Genomic DNA, 19,316 nt, shown 5'->3' with positions numbered 1-19,316 from the left:
TTGTGCATACTGGAGTCAGGCAGTTGGCCCTGAAGCACCCACAGATACAGAGTCAGCCCTCTGTATATATAGTTTTGCATCCTATGAATACTGTTTTTTTCTTTTTCTTTCTTTTCTTTCTTTCTTTCTTTTCTTTTTTTTTTTTTTTTTTTTGAGACAAGGTCTCATGTGTTGCCCAGGCTGCAGTAAATGGTGCAATCTCGGCTCACTGCAACCTCCACCTCCCGGGTTCAAGCGATTTTCCCACCTCAGCCTCCCGAGTGGCTGGGACCACAGGCGCCACCATGCCCAGCTACTTTTTGTATTTTTTTGGTGGAGAAGGTGGGTTTCGCTATGTTGCCCAGGCTGGTGTTGAATTCCTGAGCTCAAGTGATCCGTCTGCCTCAGCCTCCCAAAGTGCTGGATTACAGGCATGAGCCACCATGTCCAGTGGAGTACTGTATTTCCAATCCGAGTTTGGTTACAGATTTGGAACTTGCTGATATGGAGAGATAATATATATATTTTTTTGAGACCGAGTTTCGCTCTTGTCACCCAGGCTGGAGTGCAATGGCACAATCTCAGCTCACTGCACTCTCCACCTCCTGGATTCAAGCAGTTCTCTTGCCTCAGCCTCCCGAGTAGCTGGGATTACAGGTGCCTGCCACCACGCCCAGCTAATTTTTGTATTTTTAGTAGAGACGGGGTTTCACCATGTTGGCCAGGCTGGTCTCGAACTCCTGACCTCAGGTGATCCGCCCACCTTGGCCTTCCAAAGTGTTGGGATTACAGGTGGGAGCCACTGTGCCCGGTCAAGGGATTATATTTATTGAAAAAAAATCCATGTATGAGTGGACCTGTGCAGTTCAAACCTGTGTTATTCAAGAACATTTTAGTTTCTCCCCAAAATACCCTGTACCCATTGGCAGTCAGTCTCTTCCCCCCTCTCCCCAGCCCCTGGCAACCACTAATCTACTTCCTATATCCGTGGATGTGTCTGTTCTGGACATTTCAGCTGTTTTTTGGTTGGTTGGTTGTTTGTTTTCAGACAGGGTCTGACTCTGTTGCCCAGGCTGGGGTGCAGTGGCACCATCTCGGCTCACTGCAACCTCGGCCTCTCGGGCTCAAGCAATTCTCCCACCTCAGCCTCCCGAGTAGCTGGGATTACAGGTGTGCACCACCACATCCAGCTAATTTTTTGTATTTTTAGTAGAGACGGGGTTTCACCATACTGGCCAGGCTGGTCTTGAACTCTTGACCTCTCAAGTGTTCCACCCACCTTGGCCTCCCAAAGGGTTGGGATTAACAGGTGTGAGCCGCCGTTGTTTTGTTTTTTGAGATGGAGTCTCGCTCTGTCACCCTGACTGGAGTGCAGTGGTGTGATCTTGGCTCACTGCAACCTGTGCCTCCTGGGCTCAAATGATTCTCCTGCCTCAGCCTCCCAAGTAGCTGGGACCACAGGCACACACCACTATACCCGACTAATTTTTGTACTTTTAGTAGAGATGGGGTTTCACCATGTTGGCCAGGCTGGTCTTGAACTCTTGACCTCAGGTGATCCGCCCACCTCGGCCTCCCAGAGTGCCGGTATTACAGGCATGAGCCACCGTGCCTGGCCTCTTCGCATTTTCTTTTTCTTTTTCTTTCTTTTTTTTTTTTTTTGAGACGGAGTTTCGCTCTTGTTGCCCAGGCTGGAGTACCATGGCACAATCTCGGCTCACCGCAACCTCCGCCTCCCAGGTTCAAGCAATTCTCCTGCCTCAGCCTCCTGAGTAGCTGGGATTACAGGCATGCACCACCACGCCTGGCTAATTTTGTATTTTTAGTAGAGAAAGGGTTTCTCCATGTTGAGGCTGGTCTTGAACTCCTGACCTCAGGTGATCCACCCGCCTCGGCCTCCCAAAGTGCTGGGATTACAGGCGTGAGCCACCATGCCCGGCCCTGCACTTTCTTGATGGTATCCTTTGTGCCACAAAAGTTTTAAATTTTGGTGAAGTCCTAATTTATCTATTTTTTTCCTTTGTTGCTTATGATTTTGGTATCATAGCTAAGAAATCCAAGATCACAAAGATTTACACCTGTGTTTTCTTCTAAGCATTTTATAGTTCAAGCTCTTACAGTTAGGTCTTTGATTTATTTTGAGTTGCTTTAGGGTTTATGGCATGTACCTTAACTTGCCAGTCTACCCTTAAAAAAGCATACATCTATTCCACCCCTCCTAACCTTCATTCTATGTTATTATATCATGTGTTTACTGTTACATGTTATAAATCCATGATACATCATTATTATTTTTGTTTAAAATATACTTAAATCGTGTGAGAAAATCTCACATACTCACCCATTGTATTTCTGTGCTCTTCATTCCTTTGTGAGGATCCACATTTCCATCTGGTATTTTTCTTCTACCTTAAGGGCATCCTTTAGCATTTCTTGTAATATGGCTCTGGGGGTAATGAATTCTCTCAGCTTTTGTATGTCTGAAAACGTCTTTATTTTGCCTTCTTTTTTGTTGTTGTTGTTTTGTTTTGTTTTGTTTTTTGAGATGGAGTCTTGCTCTGTCGCCCAGGCTGGAGTGCAGTGGTGCGATCTCAGCTCACTGCAAGCTCTGCCTCCCGGGTTTGCGCCATTCTCCTGCCTCAGCCTCCTGAGTAGCTGGGACTACAGGCGCATGCCACCATGCCCGTCTAATTTTTTGTGATTTTAGTAGAAACGGGGCTTCGCCGTGTTAGCCAGGATGGTCTCGATCTCCTGACCTTGTGATCCGCCCCCCTTGGCCTCCCAAAGTGCTGGGATTACAGGCGTGAGCCACCATGCCTGGCCCCCCGCTTTTTTTTTTTTTTTCAGTACTTTAAAAATTTTGCCCCTCTGACTTCTGGCTTGCATTGTTTCCAGTGAGAAATCTGCTACTATTTTTATCTTAGTGTCTCTGTAGTGTGTCTTGGTTGCTTTTAGGATTTTCTCTTTTCATTGGCCTTGAGTCCCTCCTTCTTCCCCTCACATGTGGGGACTTTTAATTCCATGTATATTAGGCTGCATGAAGCTTCCCCACAACCTACTGATGCTCTTTTCATTAGAAACATTTCTTACTCTGCGTTTCATTTTGGATAGTTTCTATTCCTATGTTTTCAAACCCACCAATAAAAGATTCTGCAACATCTGACCTGCCATTAATCCCGTCCAGTGTATTTTTCATCTCCTGTATTGTAGTTTTCATCTCTACAATCCAGCTTGAGCCTTTGGTTATATCTTCCATGTTGCTCCTGCACTGTTTGAACATGCAGAATGGCTAGTGGGGCAGTGAGCTGAGGAGAAGGGACAGAGGGGAAGCTCAGCTGTTGGGTCTACGGGTATGATGGAGACCATGCAGCTGAAAGTAAACCGTCACCCCTTCTGCTTCAGTGTGAAAGGCCAGGTGAAGATGCTGCAGCTGATGAGGCTGGGCCTTAGGGTGCGGGGGGTGGTGGAATCTGCTTGTGGGCGGGAGATGTGGCTATGTGGCTATAAAGGATGAAGATGAACGCCCTGTTTGCTTTTCAGCCTCGCTTGGATCAAGGTTAAAAGGCCGGTTGTGGCCTTCTTGGTGGAAGAAAGAGAGAGATAAGGCACTGTCCTCCCCTTCGGAGGGTCTGGGGATACACTAATCCATCAAAACCACTGAGGGCTGGGCGTTGGTGTGTGCCTGTGGTCCCAGCACTTTGGGAGGCTGAGCTGGGAGGATTGCTTGAGCCCAGGAGGTCAAGGCGTAAGCAAGCTGTGATCGCACCGCTGCACACCAGTGCCTGGGCAACAAAGTGAGACTCTGTCTCTTTAAAAGAAAAAAGAAAAAAAAGCCTTTTTTTAAATTAAAAAAAAAATCAAGTCTACCTGAATGGCCTGCAGTTGGACCCACAAACCAGGTACCCAAGTTACCAGGCAAGGCAGCTGCAGTTGTACCAGTCAGAAGTCCACAAGATTTGAAAAAAAAAAAAAAAAAAAAAAGCCTCAGGGGTTTCAGTGAATGCTGTGTTAACTTTTTTTTTTGAGACATAGTTTCACTCTTGTTGCCCAGGCTTGAGTGCAGTGGTGCCATCTCGGCTCACTGCAACCTCTGCCTCCCGGGTTCAAGCAGTTCTTCTGCCTCAGCCTCCCGAGTAGCTGGGATTACAGGCGCCCACCACCACACCTGGCTAATTTTGTATTTTTAGTAGAGACGAGCTTTCACTACTGGTCGTGAAACTACAGTTGGTCAGGCTGGTCTCGAACTCCTGACCTCAGGTGATCTGCCCGCCTCGGCCTCCCAAAATGCTGGGATTACAGGCGTCAGTTACCACGCCCAGTCTGCTTGTTAACTTCTATAAGTCAGATGTTTGATGTGACCGAGTTCAAGGCTGATACAGCCCAGAGCCAGGACAGGTCGAGAGCTGCCCATTTTTAGGGCCTCAGACTTCCTACTGGGAGCATCGCAGCCCCTTCTGAACAGAGGTTTGGAGAAGGTGGGTCATTTGGAGAGAAGTGACCTAAACTATCCTAGTTGAAGGAATCTATCCTTGAAAGTCATCATTGAAGGAATTCAAAAAGAGAAAACTTAAGGGAAAGGAAAAAAATAGTTTTAAATTTTAAAGAGTGGGCATGTGGGAGAGGGGGTGGAGATAGTTAAGAGTTATAGGAAAACATTTCCAATTAATATGAGGAGAAATTTTATATTGGGAGAGTTCCCAAAATTAAATGGCCACTTGGGAAGGCAATACATTCCCAGACAAAGGCACCAGGCATAGGTGAACACTTGGTGAGGATGTTATGAAGGAGACTCAAACTTCAGGTAAGCAGGTAGAACAAATTGCATATAATATCCTTCCTGGCCGGGCATGGTGGCTCACGCCTGTAATCCCAGCACTTTGGGAGGCCGAGGTGGGCGGATCATGAGATCAGGAGTTTAAGACCAGCCTGACCAACATGGTGAAACCCCATCTCTACTAAAAATACAAAAAAATTGGCCGGGCATGGTGGTGCGCACCTGTAATCCCAGCTATTCAGGAGGCTTAGGCAGGAGAATCGCTTGAACCCAGGAGGTGGAGGTTGCAGTGAGCCAAGATCACGCCACTGCACTCCAGCCTGGGTGACAGAGCTAGACTCCATCTCAAAAAAAGAGAAAAAAAGATCCTTCCCACACCAAAAGTCTGTAGCTGTGAAAAGTAGCTACCATATAGTGCAAGTTGAGATGCATAAGAGGTTTATAAAACCACCCTGGAGTCGAAGGAGAGAGAACTTTTGGTAGGGAGTAAGTAGGTAAAAAGGGACCCAAAGGTCTGGGATCTTGAACACTGAAGGAGGAACAGTGTTCTGTGAGAAAGGTTTGTTTTTAACATGTTAATTTCTTCAACAAACCATTTGAATACTTAATGTGGTCCAAGCTCTGGGCCAGGACCCGGAACAACAAAGACAAACCAGGACCAAAGCCCCTGACTGACGGAGTTCTGCAGTTTAGTTACCGAGACAGACACATGAACAGATAGTTCATCATATGTGATAAGGTGGAGTTAGGGCACACAAGTGAGGCATCTAAGCAAGGAAATAAAAATAAAAAAGTATGGAATAGTTAGAATACCTGTTTTATTGATCTTTTCTGCTAATTCTGACATCTGTGTCTGTTCCAAGTCAGTCTCCATTGACTGATTTTTTTTTGTCCCCTTTATAGGTGTATTTTCCTGCTTCTTTGTGTGACTGGTAATTTTTGGTTGAATGCCAGACACTTGAATTTACCTTGTTGGGTTCTGGGCATTTTTGTATTTCTAGAAATACTATTATTGAGCTCTGTTCTGGGATGCAGTTATTAAGAGTCAGTTTGATCCTTTTGGGTCTTCTGCAAAAGATTTGTTAGGTGGGTATGGAGCAGTGCCCAGTCTAGGGCTAATGATTCTCAACTACTGGGGCATGACCCAACGCCCCAGGAATTATATGCTTTTCCCAGTCCAGATTCTGGGAACAGGCACTGTCCCCTGCCCTGTGTGGGCTCTGTCCCCTCCAGTCCTTCCAGGTGGTTCTGTCTGGTCTCAGGTAGTTTCCCAAGACACATGCGCCGATCAGATCTCTCAGATTCTCTGGGCAGCCCCCTCCTCACTGTCTTCTGTGCATGACCTCTGGCTGCCTCAGTCTCCCCCAGTTCTCAGCCCTCTCCTGTGCTGGATTCTCCCCATCTTCCCCAGCCTGCAGTGCTGGGTCCTGGAGACTCCCCAGGGCTCACCATGTTTGTTTCCTCTCTCTCAGGTCCTTTGTTACCTGACATGGAGTACCTGAAAGCCCGTTGTTTCATGCATTTTACCTGGGTTTTGGGTTGCTTCAGGGGGAGGGTAAATCTGGGCCCTGCTGCTCCATCGTGGTCAGATGTGGGAGTTACACACTGGCACACTGGCTTTTTTTTTTTTTTTTTTTGAGACAGGGTCTTGCTCTGTCACCTAGGCTGGAGTGCAGTGGCACAATCTTGACTCACTGCATCCTCCACCTGCTAAGCTCAAGCCATCCCCCCACCTTAGCCTCCCGAGCAGCTGGGACCACAGGCGCATGCCACCACACCCAGCTAATTTTTGTATTTTTTGTAGAGACAGGGTTTTGCTATATTGCCCAGGCTGGTCTCAAACTCCTGGGCTCAAGCAATCTGCCTGCTGCGGCCTCCCAAAGTGTTGAGATTATAGGCGTGAGCCACTGTGCCTTGTGGACATTAGCTTTTTTTTTTTTTTTTTGAGACAGAGTCTCGCTCTGTCACCCAGTCTGGAGTACAGTGGCACAATCTCGGCTCACTGCAAGCTCCGCTTCCTGGGTTCACACCGTTCTCCCGCCTCAGCCTCCCGAGTAACTGGGACTATAGGCACCTGCCACCACGCCCAACTAATTTTGTTTTTGTATTTTTTAGTAGAGACAGGGTTTCACCGTGTTAGCCAGGATGTTCTCGATCTCCTGCCCTCGTGATCTGCCCACCTTGGCCTCCCAAAGTGCTGGGATTACAGGCATGAGCCGCTGCACCCAGCCAAGCAAAATGGATTTTAAAAATGAACTCTTACAAAACTTTGTTCTAATCTTGCTTTCTAATAGCCACGAATCAAACACTTTCCTTGGCATTTTAGGGTTCATGAGATTTGTGTGTGCCTTGGGAGGCAGTCAAGTCCAAGGCCTGAAGTTTGCTGATGCAGTGCCCAAGCCCGGGCAAATGGAAGCTTGAAATTAGCCCTAGCTAATGTTTTTTTTTTTTTTTCTTTCTTTCTTTTTTGAGACAGAGTCTTGCTCTGTCGCCCAGGCTGGAGTACAGTGGTGTGATCTCTGCTCACTGCAGCCTCTGCCTCTTGGGCTCAAACGATTCTCTTGCCTCAGCCTCCCGGGTAGCTGGGGCTACAGGCTTGCACCACCACACCTGGCCAATTTTTTAATTTTTATTTTTAGTGGAGACACGTTTTACCATGTTGGCCAGGCTGGTCTTGAACTCCTGACCACAAGTGATACACCTTCCTCAGCCTCCCAAAGTGCTGGGATAACAGGTGTGAGCCACCATGCCCGGTCCTGGCTAATGGTTTCTGAGTTGGCCCCAGAACCTGTGGCCCTGGGTGGCCACACTGCTGGCTGGGAGGGCAACTGGGTGGCTCTGCAGCGGGAAGTGTGGTTTGGAGTCAGGTCTCGGCTCCTGCTCTGGGGCTGGTCCACCCTGGGGCTGCTGCGTCACTTCTCCTGAGCTTTGGTGTCCTGGTCCTGAGAGTGAGGCAGCGAATGCCCACCTAGGGGGCTCTGGCTGGGATGGGAAGGGGCAAGGGAGAGCCTCTGAGTCAGGAGCCATTCCCGGTGAGTGGCTACCTGGGGGATGCCACCCAGGGATGCTTGGGTGGGCACTGGGCTTATGGTGAACGTGAACATGCAGGGGCAGGTGGGGCTGATGCCAGCACTGTGAGGGGTGGATGGTACAAAGGCTGCGGGCCCTGAGAGGTCTGAGGGCTCCTGCCTGTGGGCAGCGCAGCTGGGTGGGCAGTGCCAGAAAGAGACTGGAAGACTCAATGCAGAGCCAGCAGGCAGCGCAGCTCAGCAGGCCAGAGCGCAGAGGCAGATCAGGGGTCCCTAGCATTGCGCAGCTCAGCCACTGTGTGGGCAGCCGCAGGCCCAGGCCCTGCCCACACTCTTCTGGACCTCACAAGCCCTGAGGAGTGCCTGTTCTTGAGTCCTGAGCCAGCTCCCCATGCTCACCTGCTGCTCTCCTTATCCTTCCAGCCGCCCAGCTGGGAAGGAAGGTGGCCGTGGTGGACTACGTGGAACCTTCTCCCCAAGGTAGGCAGCACCCTATGGGAGCCGGGTGTCCTGGGGAAGGAGGTGGGAGGTGGGCCCAGTTCCTGTACAGAGGGCAGCTGACACCAAAGTCCTTCAGCCCTGCTGTCCATGGTTTCTGGACAGTGTCCTGTTTCACTCATCATTACTTTAAAGTTCTTGACCATTATCGAAAACAACTCTGGCCAGGTGCAGTTGCTCACGCCTGTACTCACAGCACTTTGGGAAGCCAAGGCAGGCCTTGATCACTTGAGCCCAGGAGTTCGAGGCTATAGTGAGCTATGATTGCACTACTGCACTCCAGCCTGGGTAACAAGAGCAAAACTCCATCTCAAATAAATAAATTAATAAATATTAAAAAGTAAAAACAACTGTTTTTATTTTCGAGTACAGTTATAGAGAGCAGATTCGTGTGGCATGTCAGCTGGTCTGTGTTAGAGTTACAAAGCAACTTTAAGGAATTCCAAACACTCTAGAAGAACAGGGAAGCCTCCAGCAGTCACCTGAACATAAATTCAAATGTGCTCTTCCCACGTCCCAGGCACCCGGTGGGGCCTCGGCGGCACCTGCGTCAACGTGGGCTGCATCCCCAAGAAGCTGATGCACCAGGCGGCACTGCTGGGAGGCCTGATCCAAGATGCCCCCAACTATGGCTGGGAGGTGGCCCAGCCCGTGCCGCATGACTGGTAAGGATCTGGCGCCGTGGCATTCCAGTGCTTTTCTTCTACTCTTGGGTGGAAGAGGAAGAGGAGGCTTATCCTCGATGAGCCCTCATGGGGAGTGGGCCGTAGGATGGGTTTCTCAGCCAGGGGCGACTCTGCGCTGTCTGCCTCAGACATTTGGGAATGTCTGGAGACAGTTTTGGTTGTCACTGGGGAAGGGTTTGCTCCCCTTTGCGGGGAGCCCAGGGATGCTACAGCCATGCACAGCACAGCCCCACCAAGAACAGTGCATCTCCAAGGCCAGGAGTGCGGGTGGGAGGCCGCTTCAGCTGAGCTCTTCTGGGAAGGGGACCACGTGGCCCAGCCACACCCACATTGGCTCAGATAGGCCTCTGCCTGCAGTGGGTAGCCTTTGGGGCACAGAGCAGCTGCATCTGGAGAGCCGTGGGTCAGAGCCCCTGTTTTCTGTGAGTCCAAAGGTCTGCAGCCCTGAGCCTGGGACAGGCGGTTGCACGTAGGGATGGATGTCACGTTTTGCCACCTTTAAAAGCACTCTTGTTTTTTGATATTTCTATGAATGTACCATTTGAATCTAATAGTCCATCGTGAGGCCCTGCAGCTAACACCTGTGTTGTGGATTTTACATTTTGTTTCGTATCTTCACAGGAGGAAGATGGCAGAAGCTGTTCAAAATCACGTGAAATCCTTGAACTGGGGCCACCGTGTCCAGCTTCAGGACAGGTACTGAAGCTCTCTCCGGGAATGGGCCGCCCTCTGGGCCTTCTCTTGGGCGTTCTGTGCCTGGACACACACTTACTTACTGTGCAGAGCATGCTCTGGCAGGCTCTGGGGGTTCATGTCCTGCTCATGGGTGGGGATGAGGACAAGGAGCAGATGGGAGTGACTGTAGGGGAAGGGGAGACTGCCCTTTGCTGCTGAGCAGAGCCTGGAGGTGCTGCCAAGGAATGAGTGAGGCCACATTGGCAGAATGGCCAGAGCCCAGGGCTGCACAGGGAGGAGGCGCTTGGGGCTGGAAGGCCTCAGGCCAGAGAGCGTGGACATAGCTAGGCCTGGGGCTAATATGTGGTGAGGGTCATCCCAGTGGCAAGCCCCCACCCCGTGAACCCCCTTCTTACTGCACACCTCCAGCTCCTTGGGTGTGGGTGCAGGAGCTTGGTGCTTTCCGCTGGAGCAAATGTCCCTACTTGGTCACCGTTCCTGTCAGCCCCTGGGGATCTCCAGCACAGAGGCCTATGCTCCCCTGGCCTACAACCTTCTCCTGGGGCTCAGCTGCCAGCACAGCAGATGCCTGAAACTGGTACCGCCTCTGGCCCAGCCTTTCTCCCGGGGCTGTGGAGGGGACAGTGGTCCCGCAGAGGTCTGGTGGCTCTCCTCATGCACCATTTGCTTGGCCCCAGGGCGGGTCTTCCTGGGGCTTCACAGCAGGCAGCAGTTTTGTGCTCACTAAATCCAGGAAAGTGGAGCCAGGAAGCCAACTGCTTGCCCTCCACCTGGACCTCACAAGCTCTCCCCTATCCAGGGAGCTAAGCCACATTGTGCTGTGGCATTTCTGTGTTTCTCTGTGGGGCTCTGTATCCCCTGGTACAGTTTCCTGGGGACAGCAGGCTCTGCCCTCCCTCCTCCCTGCCCTGGGCAGCTCCTGGACGGGCACCAAACAGGCCCAGCCCACTGCCTGCTCCGGAGCCACCTGCAGAAGGAGGCTGGGGCGCACCTGGGCTGTTTCTGCTTTTTCACTCTTCTGAAAAGTGCTGCCATGAGCATTGCCCGGCTGTGTCCCGTGGCAGCTTCCTGGCTGTCGAGGTGATTGAAGGGCTCTTGCTGTAGGAACTTCACGCAGCTCAGACAGCCCATAGAGGCACAGGCTTGCCAGTGGGGAGAAGGCAGGCTCAAGCAGGAGGCAGAGCCTTCCCAGAACCCTTGCTGCAGCACGGTCCTTTTGTCATTAGAAAGTGTTGGTCGGGTGCAGTGGCTCATGCCTGTAATCCTAGCACTTTGGGAGGCTGAGGTGGGAGGATCACTTGAGCCCAGGAGTTGGAGACCAGCCTGAGCAACATAGTTTTATTGCTACATCCCTACAAAAAATAAAATGAACTAGCCAGGTATGGTTGCCCATGCCTATAGTTCCAGTTACTTGAAACAAGGCTTCCGTGAGCTATGATCATGCCACTGCACTCCAGCCTGGGTGACAGAGTGAGAAGATGTCTTTAAAAAAAAAAAAAAGGGTGGGGCGCGGTGGCTCATGCCTGTAATCCTAGCACTTTGGGAGGCTGAGGTGGGTGGATCACTTGAGGTCAGGAGTTCAAGACCAGCCTGGCCAACATGGCGAAACCCCGTCTCTACTAAAAATACAAAAATTAGCCAGGCGTGGTGGCGCAAGCCTGTAATCCCAGCTTCTCAGGAGGCTGAGGCAAGAGCTGAGGCAAGAGAATGGCTTGAACCTGGGAGGTGGAGATTGCAGTGAGCCAAGATCGTGCCACTGAACTCCAGCCTGGGCGACAGAGTGAGACTTTGACTCAGAAAAAAAAAAAAGAAAAGAAAGCGTGGGTCATTTGTTTCTGTGCACTATGCTCCCAGCCACTGTTTTGCCAGCCTTGTCATGCCCGTTCTCTTGGTGTTACCACACCCCTGAAATCAGAAGGTGACACCATCTGGTGGGCACCACAGCTCCCTGCTGGAACATGTCCGGGTGATGAGGACTGTCCCCAAGAGAGGTCCAGCCACCTCTTGCTGCACACCAGGGCTGTACGTGGCCTCTTAGGACCGTGCTGAGCTGGCTTCCGTCCCTGCTTTGACACCTGTGGTTAACATGTCCCTGGGATCCCTGGGGGACAGGCGAGGTGCCCCCACATCCCCTCCATGCTTCTCAGCATGGTTGCCGCTTACCTCTTGGTCCATCTGAGCCACAGCACCAGGCCCTGCTGGGGGCTGGAGCTCCCTTTTACCAGTGTTCCCTATTGATCCAGTTGGTGAGGTTTAATTTGCAGAGGAAGTGTTTGAAAATCTTATCTTTATCTTTCAGAAAAGTCAAGTACTTTAACATCAAAGCCAGCTTTGTTGACGAGCACACGGTTTGCGGCGTTGCCAAAGGTGGGAAAGAGGTGAGCATCTGACTTACTCGCGTGGCTCCTTGTGGACCCTTCTGCAGACCTTGGGCACCAACTGCAGCTGTGTTTGGCCTGGGTGCTGTTCTTAGTAACACGTGCTGCTGGAATCAAAAAGGTGGCTTCTTTTGAGGCTGGGCACTTGTCTTTAACGTGATCAAATAATTTGCTGCCCTGCTGCTCGGAGTGGCATGGCAACAGGGTTGGTGACCACACCCTTTTTGCAGGATTTTTTGGGGATTTGAGGGTGCCTTGAAGTGCTTGGAGTTAGAACATCTCCCTGTGCTTTCTGCCTGTCCCCCTCCTGCCAGGCTGATGGTTGATGGGATTCCAGCTCCATAGGGCCTCTGAACTGCTGGCCAAGGGTCCACGCTACAGGGCAGGGGCCGTGGGAACTGCTGGCCAAGGTCTGTGGTGCTCAGGCCCTCCGGTGGGGTGATCACCATGCACCTGTCTGACCCACGGCTTTCTCTTTTTCTCCTCAGATTCTGCTGTCAGCCGATCACATCATCATTGCTACTGGAGGGCGGCCGAGATACCCCACGCACGTGAGTGTCCCCAGAGCATAGCGTCCCTGCTGCCGTGGCCCATTCCCGGCCTCTTTGAGGGATACGTTTTTACACACGTGCTTCCCACAGCAGCAGCTTGCACACCCTTTCCCCCTATACTCACTATCATCACTTTCTGCTTTCCAATTCTCTTGAATCCACACTGCTGAAATGTGGGGTCCCCAGTGGCCTCCACGCTGCCAGATCCTCAGGACAGCTCTCGTTCTGCTCTCCCCCTGCCCCGCTGGATCTGTCCCCTTCCACACCAGGATCCTGCTTCCTAAGTCTCCATTGCTGATTCCCCCTTTTCCCTTCAGCCTCAGAATGTTGGAACATTCAGGATATAAGCCTCATTCTTCATCTTCCTCCTTCACGTCCCCCAGTTTAAAAAAAGTTTGAAATAAAATTCACACGCTATAAAATTTAGCCTTTTTTAGGGTACAATTCAGTGGTTTTTAGTACATTCACAGAGCTGTGCGGCCATCAGTCACCACCATCCATTGCCAGAACTCCTTCCATCATCCCTGAACTGAAACTATTCCCATTAAACCCTACTCCCCAGCGCCTCCTCCCCCAGCCCCTAGAAACCACCACCTACTTTCTGTCTCTATGAATGTGACAACACTAGGCACCTCGTGTAAGTGAAATCGTACATGTAAGTCCTTCTCATGTAACTGGTACGTGTGTGTCCCTTAGTGACTCGTATGTGTGTGTCCCTTAGTGACTGGCTTACTTCACTGAGCATAACATCCTCCAGGTTCACCTACATTGTAGTGTGTGTCAGTATCATTCCTTTTTATGGCTAGATACTATTCCATTGTATGGATAGACCACACTTTGTTTATCTACTTGCTTGGATAAACACATGTGTTATTTCCACTTTTTAGCTATTATGAATAGTGCCGCTGTGAACATCTGCAAAGAAGTTTTTTGGTGGACTTCAGTTTTCACTTCTCTTGGGTTACACTTAGGAGCAGAACTGCTGGGTCATGTGGTAACTTTATGTTGAATCTTTCAAGGAACGTTTCAAGGAACCTCAGACTGTTTTCCACAATGACTGTGTTTTACATTCCTTCCAGTGGGGTGTAAGGGTCATGGTTTCTTGTTTCTTCACGTATCTTGTAATTTTTTTATTGAAAGCTGAACATTTCAAATAATTTAATGCGATAACTTTGGAAACCAGATTCTCCCTCTGCCCCAGGATTCTGTTGTTACAGCTGCTTATTTGGTGACTTTTCGGAACTGACTTTGTAGACTCTTATTCTTTGATGTATGTGGCCACTGAAGTCTTTACTTGGTTAGCTTAGTGGTCAGCTAAGAACTGCATGGAGATTTCCCTAAACTAAGAACTCTCCCGGTCTTTGCTGAGGGCTCTGTGTGCGTTTGGAGGGGATGCCTTCCACACTCAACAGGCAGCAGACAGCTCTGCCCTAGCCTTCACTTCCTGCTTCTGCAGAGATCAAGGTCAGCTGGAGGTGAGGGTTCAGGGCCTCGTTGGTCCTTCCTGATGTGTGCACAGTGCTGTGCATGCGCCTGGCCTAGGTTCCCAGGAATATGCTGGAACCTTTCAAAGCTCCAGCAGACATCTCATACTTTGGCTTTTCCTTTGAAGCTTTTTGGGCAGTCTGTTGTTGGCTCTAACTGTTACCTATCCCCTCAGGCAGCTGTGAGAAGAAAACCTCAGACAAATGCCCCCAGAGAAAGGCTTTTAGCCCTGGCTGAGCTCCGGTGAAGTTGGATGAAGATGACCCTATAGTTGCTGACTCTGACTCTTCTTTGTGGGGGGGCTTTGAAAGACCCCAGCTGAGTTCTGCTCTCTCTGACACATCACTGTTCAGGGCTGCCGCTGAGGTGGGAGTGGGACCAGAGTGAGTTAAAACACCCTGGAGTTCCCATTCTCACTCAGCTTCAGCTGTTTTTCCTGACTTTAAATGTTCCCTGTGTTGCTGCAAGCCTGTGGTTAATTTCCATAATTCTGAATCTCCCAGTTCTTGCCAGTTTTATCGCTGTTTTTAACAGAGAGGTGAATAACTCCTGGCCCAGTCTTGTGGGTTGTGGGGGCAGAGTTGAGGAAGGGGCCCCGGGGTGAGGGGTTGGGGGGCAGCTGCAGCAGGGAAAGCAAATGGGCTGGGGGTGAGCAGAGAGGTTTGGCTGAGACCAGTCCCCACGGGTCTCCCAGGGAACCGTGTGCCGCCTGCTCCAAGCCTCTAAGTAGGCTGCAGCCAAGCTCTTGAAGACCACGGCTCTCTCGGCCTGGAGGCCACACCACCTCTGACTTAGACCCAGGGGCAGTCCGGTGGAGGCAGAGCAAGGGGAGGTTCTGCCACTTCTTGGATGTGACCCCAGCCTCCACTTCGTCCTGTGCTTACTGTGGAAACAGGGAAAGGAGCGGCCCCGAGGAGCACAAGCACCCCCAGTCCTTAGAGGCCGTGGGACTTGTCTGGCCGCCAGGCAGCCACAGCAGCCTCTAGAGGGGGCAGGTTGCTTATGCACAGAGGTGGGGCTCAGGGCTGCGTGACTTTGTAGGATGACACTGTGCAGTTGTTCAAGGCAGCTGCTGCAGACAGGGTCCCAGTGATCCCCTCTCCTGGCAGCTGGGCTCATGGTGGTTCTGCTTAAAGAAGGCCACAGCCAGCTTCCAGCAGCCCAGCGGTCATTGGGTTTCTCTGAGGCCCCAGGCAGAGCTGCACGTGCATCCGCACCAGGGAGCACTGCACAGGGGCCCTGGCCTGGCCCGGCCCTGCTCTGCACCTCACGGGCAGCTGCTGACGGCTCTTTGGGCTCACAGGGGATCCAGCAGGCGCTCCTGGTCCTTAGGAGGCAGGCAGCTCAGGGCTGCTTCGCTCTCCCTGCCACGCCCTCCCAGGGTGTCTGCCAAGGCTTGCTTGCGTTTTAGTCCCTTTGATTGCCAGACCTTTCGGTTTTCCTTGAGTAAACCTGAGAAATTCCTGACTTTATTTTTTTTTGCCAGTTGGAAGCATAAACTGTTTGAGATCCGCTTCCTCCACCAGCACATCTTGTTCTCATGGCCGCTAAGGGGACGTTCACCCTGGGCCTCCCACCTGCTTGGCCGCCCCTCTTCAGGTGACCTGTATGATTTCTGGGCTCAGAGCCCACCCGGGCCAGCCCTCGAGAGTGTGAAGTCCGTCCTGGCTTCAGCCAGGTGCCCTCAGAGCTGCCCCTCAGTCCCTGCCCACCTCAGCCTGTGGCACTTACCCCCTGTGCCTCCTCTCCTCTGGCTGGCCTTGTAGGCCACCCCTGCCGCGCAGACACACCTGAGCTCTGCTGGCCCTGATTTGCTGACCTGTTCTCTCCCCACTTCCTCTCTCTGAGTTTGGATCCCCCAGAACCCAGGTGTTGCTCCCTGGGGCTGCATGCCCCTGTCTGTTTGATGTGTCTGTCCAGAACCCGGGCAGACTTGAGGGGTCCCAGCTGTCTGCCTGTATGGCCCCTGCAGTTGCTGTACCCACCTCAGGCCCTGTATCCTGCTCTGAACCAGGGTCAAGGGGAGGGTCCTGGGGAACAGAGGGGAAAGGTACCCTGCGAGGGCACCGGGACCTGGAGTGCAGCAGCTTAGATGCAGACAGGCCACCTGCAGCCCCAAAGAGGCCACAGCCTGCAGACAAGGACTGGCAGCAGGGAAGCCCTGTGCATGTGTGCCCTGGGAAAGCTCTGCTTGATTCTGCAAAGCTGGCATCCTCTTTAAGGAAGCCCTAGGACAGGCCAAATGGAGCTCTTGTCCAAGGGGTCATTTCTGTCTTGACAGATCGAAGGTGCCTTGGAATATGGAATCACAAGTGATGACATCTTCTGGCTGAAGGAATCCCCTGGAAAAACGTAAGGCCTGCGCGTGCTTGGTGGGGTCCTCTTTTTGTTCACCAGAGTGAGCACTGGACCCTTAGAGCCTGTGCTGGTGCTGGGCTCCTGGGGCTTTCTTTCCGGTTTACCCAAAAGAAGGAAAAAAGGCCTGTTATTTGTGGCCAGGTGTGGTGGCTCATGCTTGTTAGCCTAGCACTTTGGGAGACTGAGCGGGAGGATTGCTTGAGGCCAGGAGTTCGAGATCAGCATCAGCCTGGGCAATATAGTGAGACCTCTACTCTACAAAAATCTGTTTTGGTTTTTTTTTTGGCTTTTTTTTTTAGGTGAATTCTCACTCTGTCCCCCAAACTGAATTGCAATGGCCCAATCTTGGCTCACTGCAATCCCTGCCTCCCAGGTTCAAGTGATTCTCCTGCTTCAGCCTCCAAAGTAGCTGAAATTACAGGCGCCCACCACCACATCTGGCTAATTTTTGTATTTTTAGTAGAAATGGGGTTTCACCATCTTGGTCAGGCTGGTCTTGAACTCCTGACCTCAGGTGATCCGCCCACCTCGTCCTCCTAAAGTGCTGGGATTACAAGCGTGAGCCACCACACCCAGCCTACAAAAATCTGAAAATATTAACCGAGCATAGTACTGTGCACCTGTAGTCCCAGCTACTTGGGAGGCTTTAGGTGGGAGGATTGCTTGAGCCCAGGAGGTTGAGGCTGCAGTGAGCTGTGATTGCACCACTGCGCTCAGCCTGGGAGAGTGAGACCTTGTCTCAAAACTAAACAATAAACCTGTGACTTGTGCCCCTCTGCAGGGCTGTTGATTTACTCTGTCCTGTGGCTGCCTTGGAGGTAATAACAATAACAGGACTGCCATATAAATGGAGTCAGCTGTTTGTTATCTAGGTCAGTGGTTGTCAAATGGGGTTCCCAGGAGCCCTGGGGTTCCAGTGGGTCCCCTCAAGGACATCAGGGAGAACATTAAGGAGGGGAGAGCCAGCAATCCCTATCCCAGCCCTCATCTAACACCCTCACTGTCTTCTGATTTGTACATTGGGTTTCCCTGAAATCTAGCAAAGACTCCAAAGGCCTCAGAAACAACATCTTGATTGTGGAAGGGAGGCTAGCAGCGTGCAAGTGGCTCTCACTCCCCATGGGAGCAGGTGCAGAGTCACTAAGTGCATTCCGATGCCCACAGAGTGGGCCATCCCGAGGTCCCAGGTCCAGGCAGCTCCTGCCTGTGGGGTGTGGAGACTTCATGTTGGCAGGGAGCAGAGAGACCACCAGAGGGCGGCAGAGGCTTGGTCAATAGCAGTCTCGAGCCTTCCCCAGGAGAAAATATCAGTGGAAAAGGGTCCCACTTCTGTGTGTGCCCGAATGTGCATGGTGTGCGTGCAGATGTGTGTGGTGTGTGTGTGTGAATGGTGTGTGTGGTGTGTGTGTGAGTGGTGTGTGTGTGTGGTGTGTGAGTGGTGTGTGTGTGTGAAGGGTGTGGGTGTGTGGTGTGTGTGTGTGTGAGTGGTGTGTGTGAGTGGTGTGTGTGTGGTGTGTGTGTGAAGGGTGTGGGTGTGTGTGGTGTGTGGTGTGTGTGTGAGTGGTGTGTGTGAGTGGTGTGTGTGTGGTGTGTGTGGTGTGTGTGTGTGAAGGGTGTGGGTGTGTGTGGTGTGTGTGTGAGTGGTGTGTGTGCGTGGTGTGTGTGGTGTGTGTGAGCAGTGTGTGTGAGTAGTGTGTGTGAGTGGTGTGTGTGTGAATGGTGTGTGTATGTGAGTGGTGTGTGAGTGGTGTGTGTGGTGTGTGTGTGTGAGTGGTGTGTGTGGTGTGTGTGTGTGGTGTGTGTATGTGAGTAGTGTGTGAGTGGTTATGTGTGTGTGTGGTGTGTGTGTGTGAGTGGTGTGTGTGTGTGTGAGTGGTGTGTCACATGCTCTGCTTGTCATTGTTTCACACTTCACGGGGCATCTTTGTGTGGGGTCAGGACTGGATTCCCTTGAATGGATGTGGTATAGTTCCTTTGACCTTTCTCTTGTTAATGAGCATCTCAGTAGTTTCTCTTCTTCATCATTATCAATGCTGCAGTGAAAACCTTGGAGGTGCATCTGTTTACCATCAGAAGTGCTTCTGACACATTTTCCCAATTATTCATTGTGATAAAACAGACATAGTATAAAATTTACCACTTTAACCTTTTTTTTTTTTTTTTTTGAAACAGAGTCTCACTCTGTTGCCCAGGCTGGAGTGCAGTGGTGCGATCTCGGCTCACTGCAACCTCTGCCTCCCGGGTTCAAGCGATTCTCCTGTCTCAGCCCTCTGAGTAGCCGGGACTACAGGTGTCTGCCACCACACCCCGCTAATTTTTTGTGTTTTTAGTGGAGATGGGGTTTCACCATGTTGGCCAGGCTGGTCTCAAACTCCTGACCTCAGGTGATCCACCTGCCTTGGCCTTCCAAAGTGCTGGGATTACAGGGGTGAGCCACCACGCCCAGCCCACGTTAACCATTTTTAAGTATACAGTTCAATGGTATTAAATGTATTAATAATGTCGTGAAACCATCACCACTATCCATGTCTGGAACTCTTTTCATCCATGTTGTATCTGCATTTCCTTCTTTTTAAGACTGAGTAATATTCCATTGTACAGGCACACCACATTTTGTTTATCCATTCATCTGTCAGTGGACACCCAAGTTGCCTCTGCTTCTTGGCTGTTGTGAGCAGTGCTGCCGTGAACATAGGTGTGCAAATACCTCTTGAAGACCTTTCAGTTCTTTTGGATGCAAACCCAGAAGTGGGATTGCTGGATCTTATGGTCTTGAGGAACCTCCATCCTGTTCCCAACAGCGCCCACACCATCTTACATTCTCACCAGCAGTTCAGGAGGACTCTGGGCTCCCCACATCCTCGCCAGTGCATGTTGTTTTC

The 19,316-nt window shown here is 51.3% G+C and overlaps 1 protein-coding gene across 7 annotated transcripts in view, besides 1 other annotated feature; it reads left to right on the top strand.

Moving 5' to 3' along the window:
• Nucleotides 1-19,316, top strand: part of TXNRD2 (thioredoxin reductase 2) — a 66,297-nt gene that overhangs the window by 14,014 nt on the left and 32,967 nt on the right. For 6 of the 7 annotated variants that reach the window (NM_001352300.2, NM_006440.5, NM_001352302.2 and 3 more), the window contains exons 3-8: nucleotides 8,206-8,262; nucleotides 8,801-8,945; nucleotides 9,588-9,662; nucleotides 11,962-12,040; nucleotides 12,529-12,591; nucleotides 16,358-16,428. In NM_001352300.2, coding sequence (NP_001339229.1) covers nucleotides 8,206-8,262; nucleotides 8,801-8,945; nucleotides 9,588-9,662; nucleotides 11,962-12,040; nucleotides 12,529-12,591; nucleotides 16,358-16,428 — 490 coding nt within the window. The remainder of the gene's footprint in view (nucleotides 1-8,205; nucleotides 8,263-8,800; nucleotides 8,946-9,587; nucleotides 9,663-11,961; nucleotides 12,041-12,528; nucleotides 12,592-16,357; nucleotides 16,429-19,316) is intronic. The other variant, NR_147957.2, reaches the window with a different exon arrangement.
• Nucleotides 10,380-10,990: an enhancer, noted in NCBI's record as "H3K27ac-H3K4me1 hESC enhancer chr22:19904338-19904948 (GRCh37/hg19 assembly coordinates)". NCBI's record gives its function as "activates a minimal SCP1, AML or CMV promoter by ChIP-STARR-seq in primed H9 embryonic stem cells {active_cell/tissue: H9 hESC(primed)}" and the evidence as "EXISTENCE:reporter gene assay evidence [ECO:0000049][PMID:30033119]".

The sequence above is a fragment of the Homo sapiens genome, chromosome 22, assembly GCF_000001405.40.
Source record: "Homo sapiens chromosome 22, GRCh38.p14 Primary Assembly".
Taxonomy (NCBI): Eukaryota; Metazoa; Chordata; class Mammalia; order Primates; family Hominidae; genus Homo; species Homo sapiens.
Note: the sequence above shows the minus strand (reverse complement) of the source record. Positions and strands in the feature narration are given on the sequence as shown.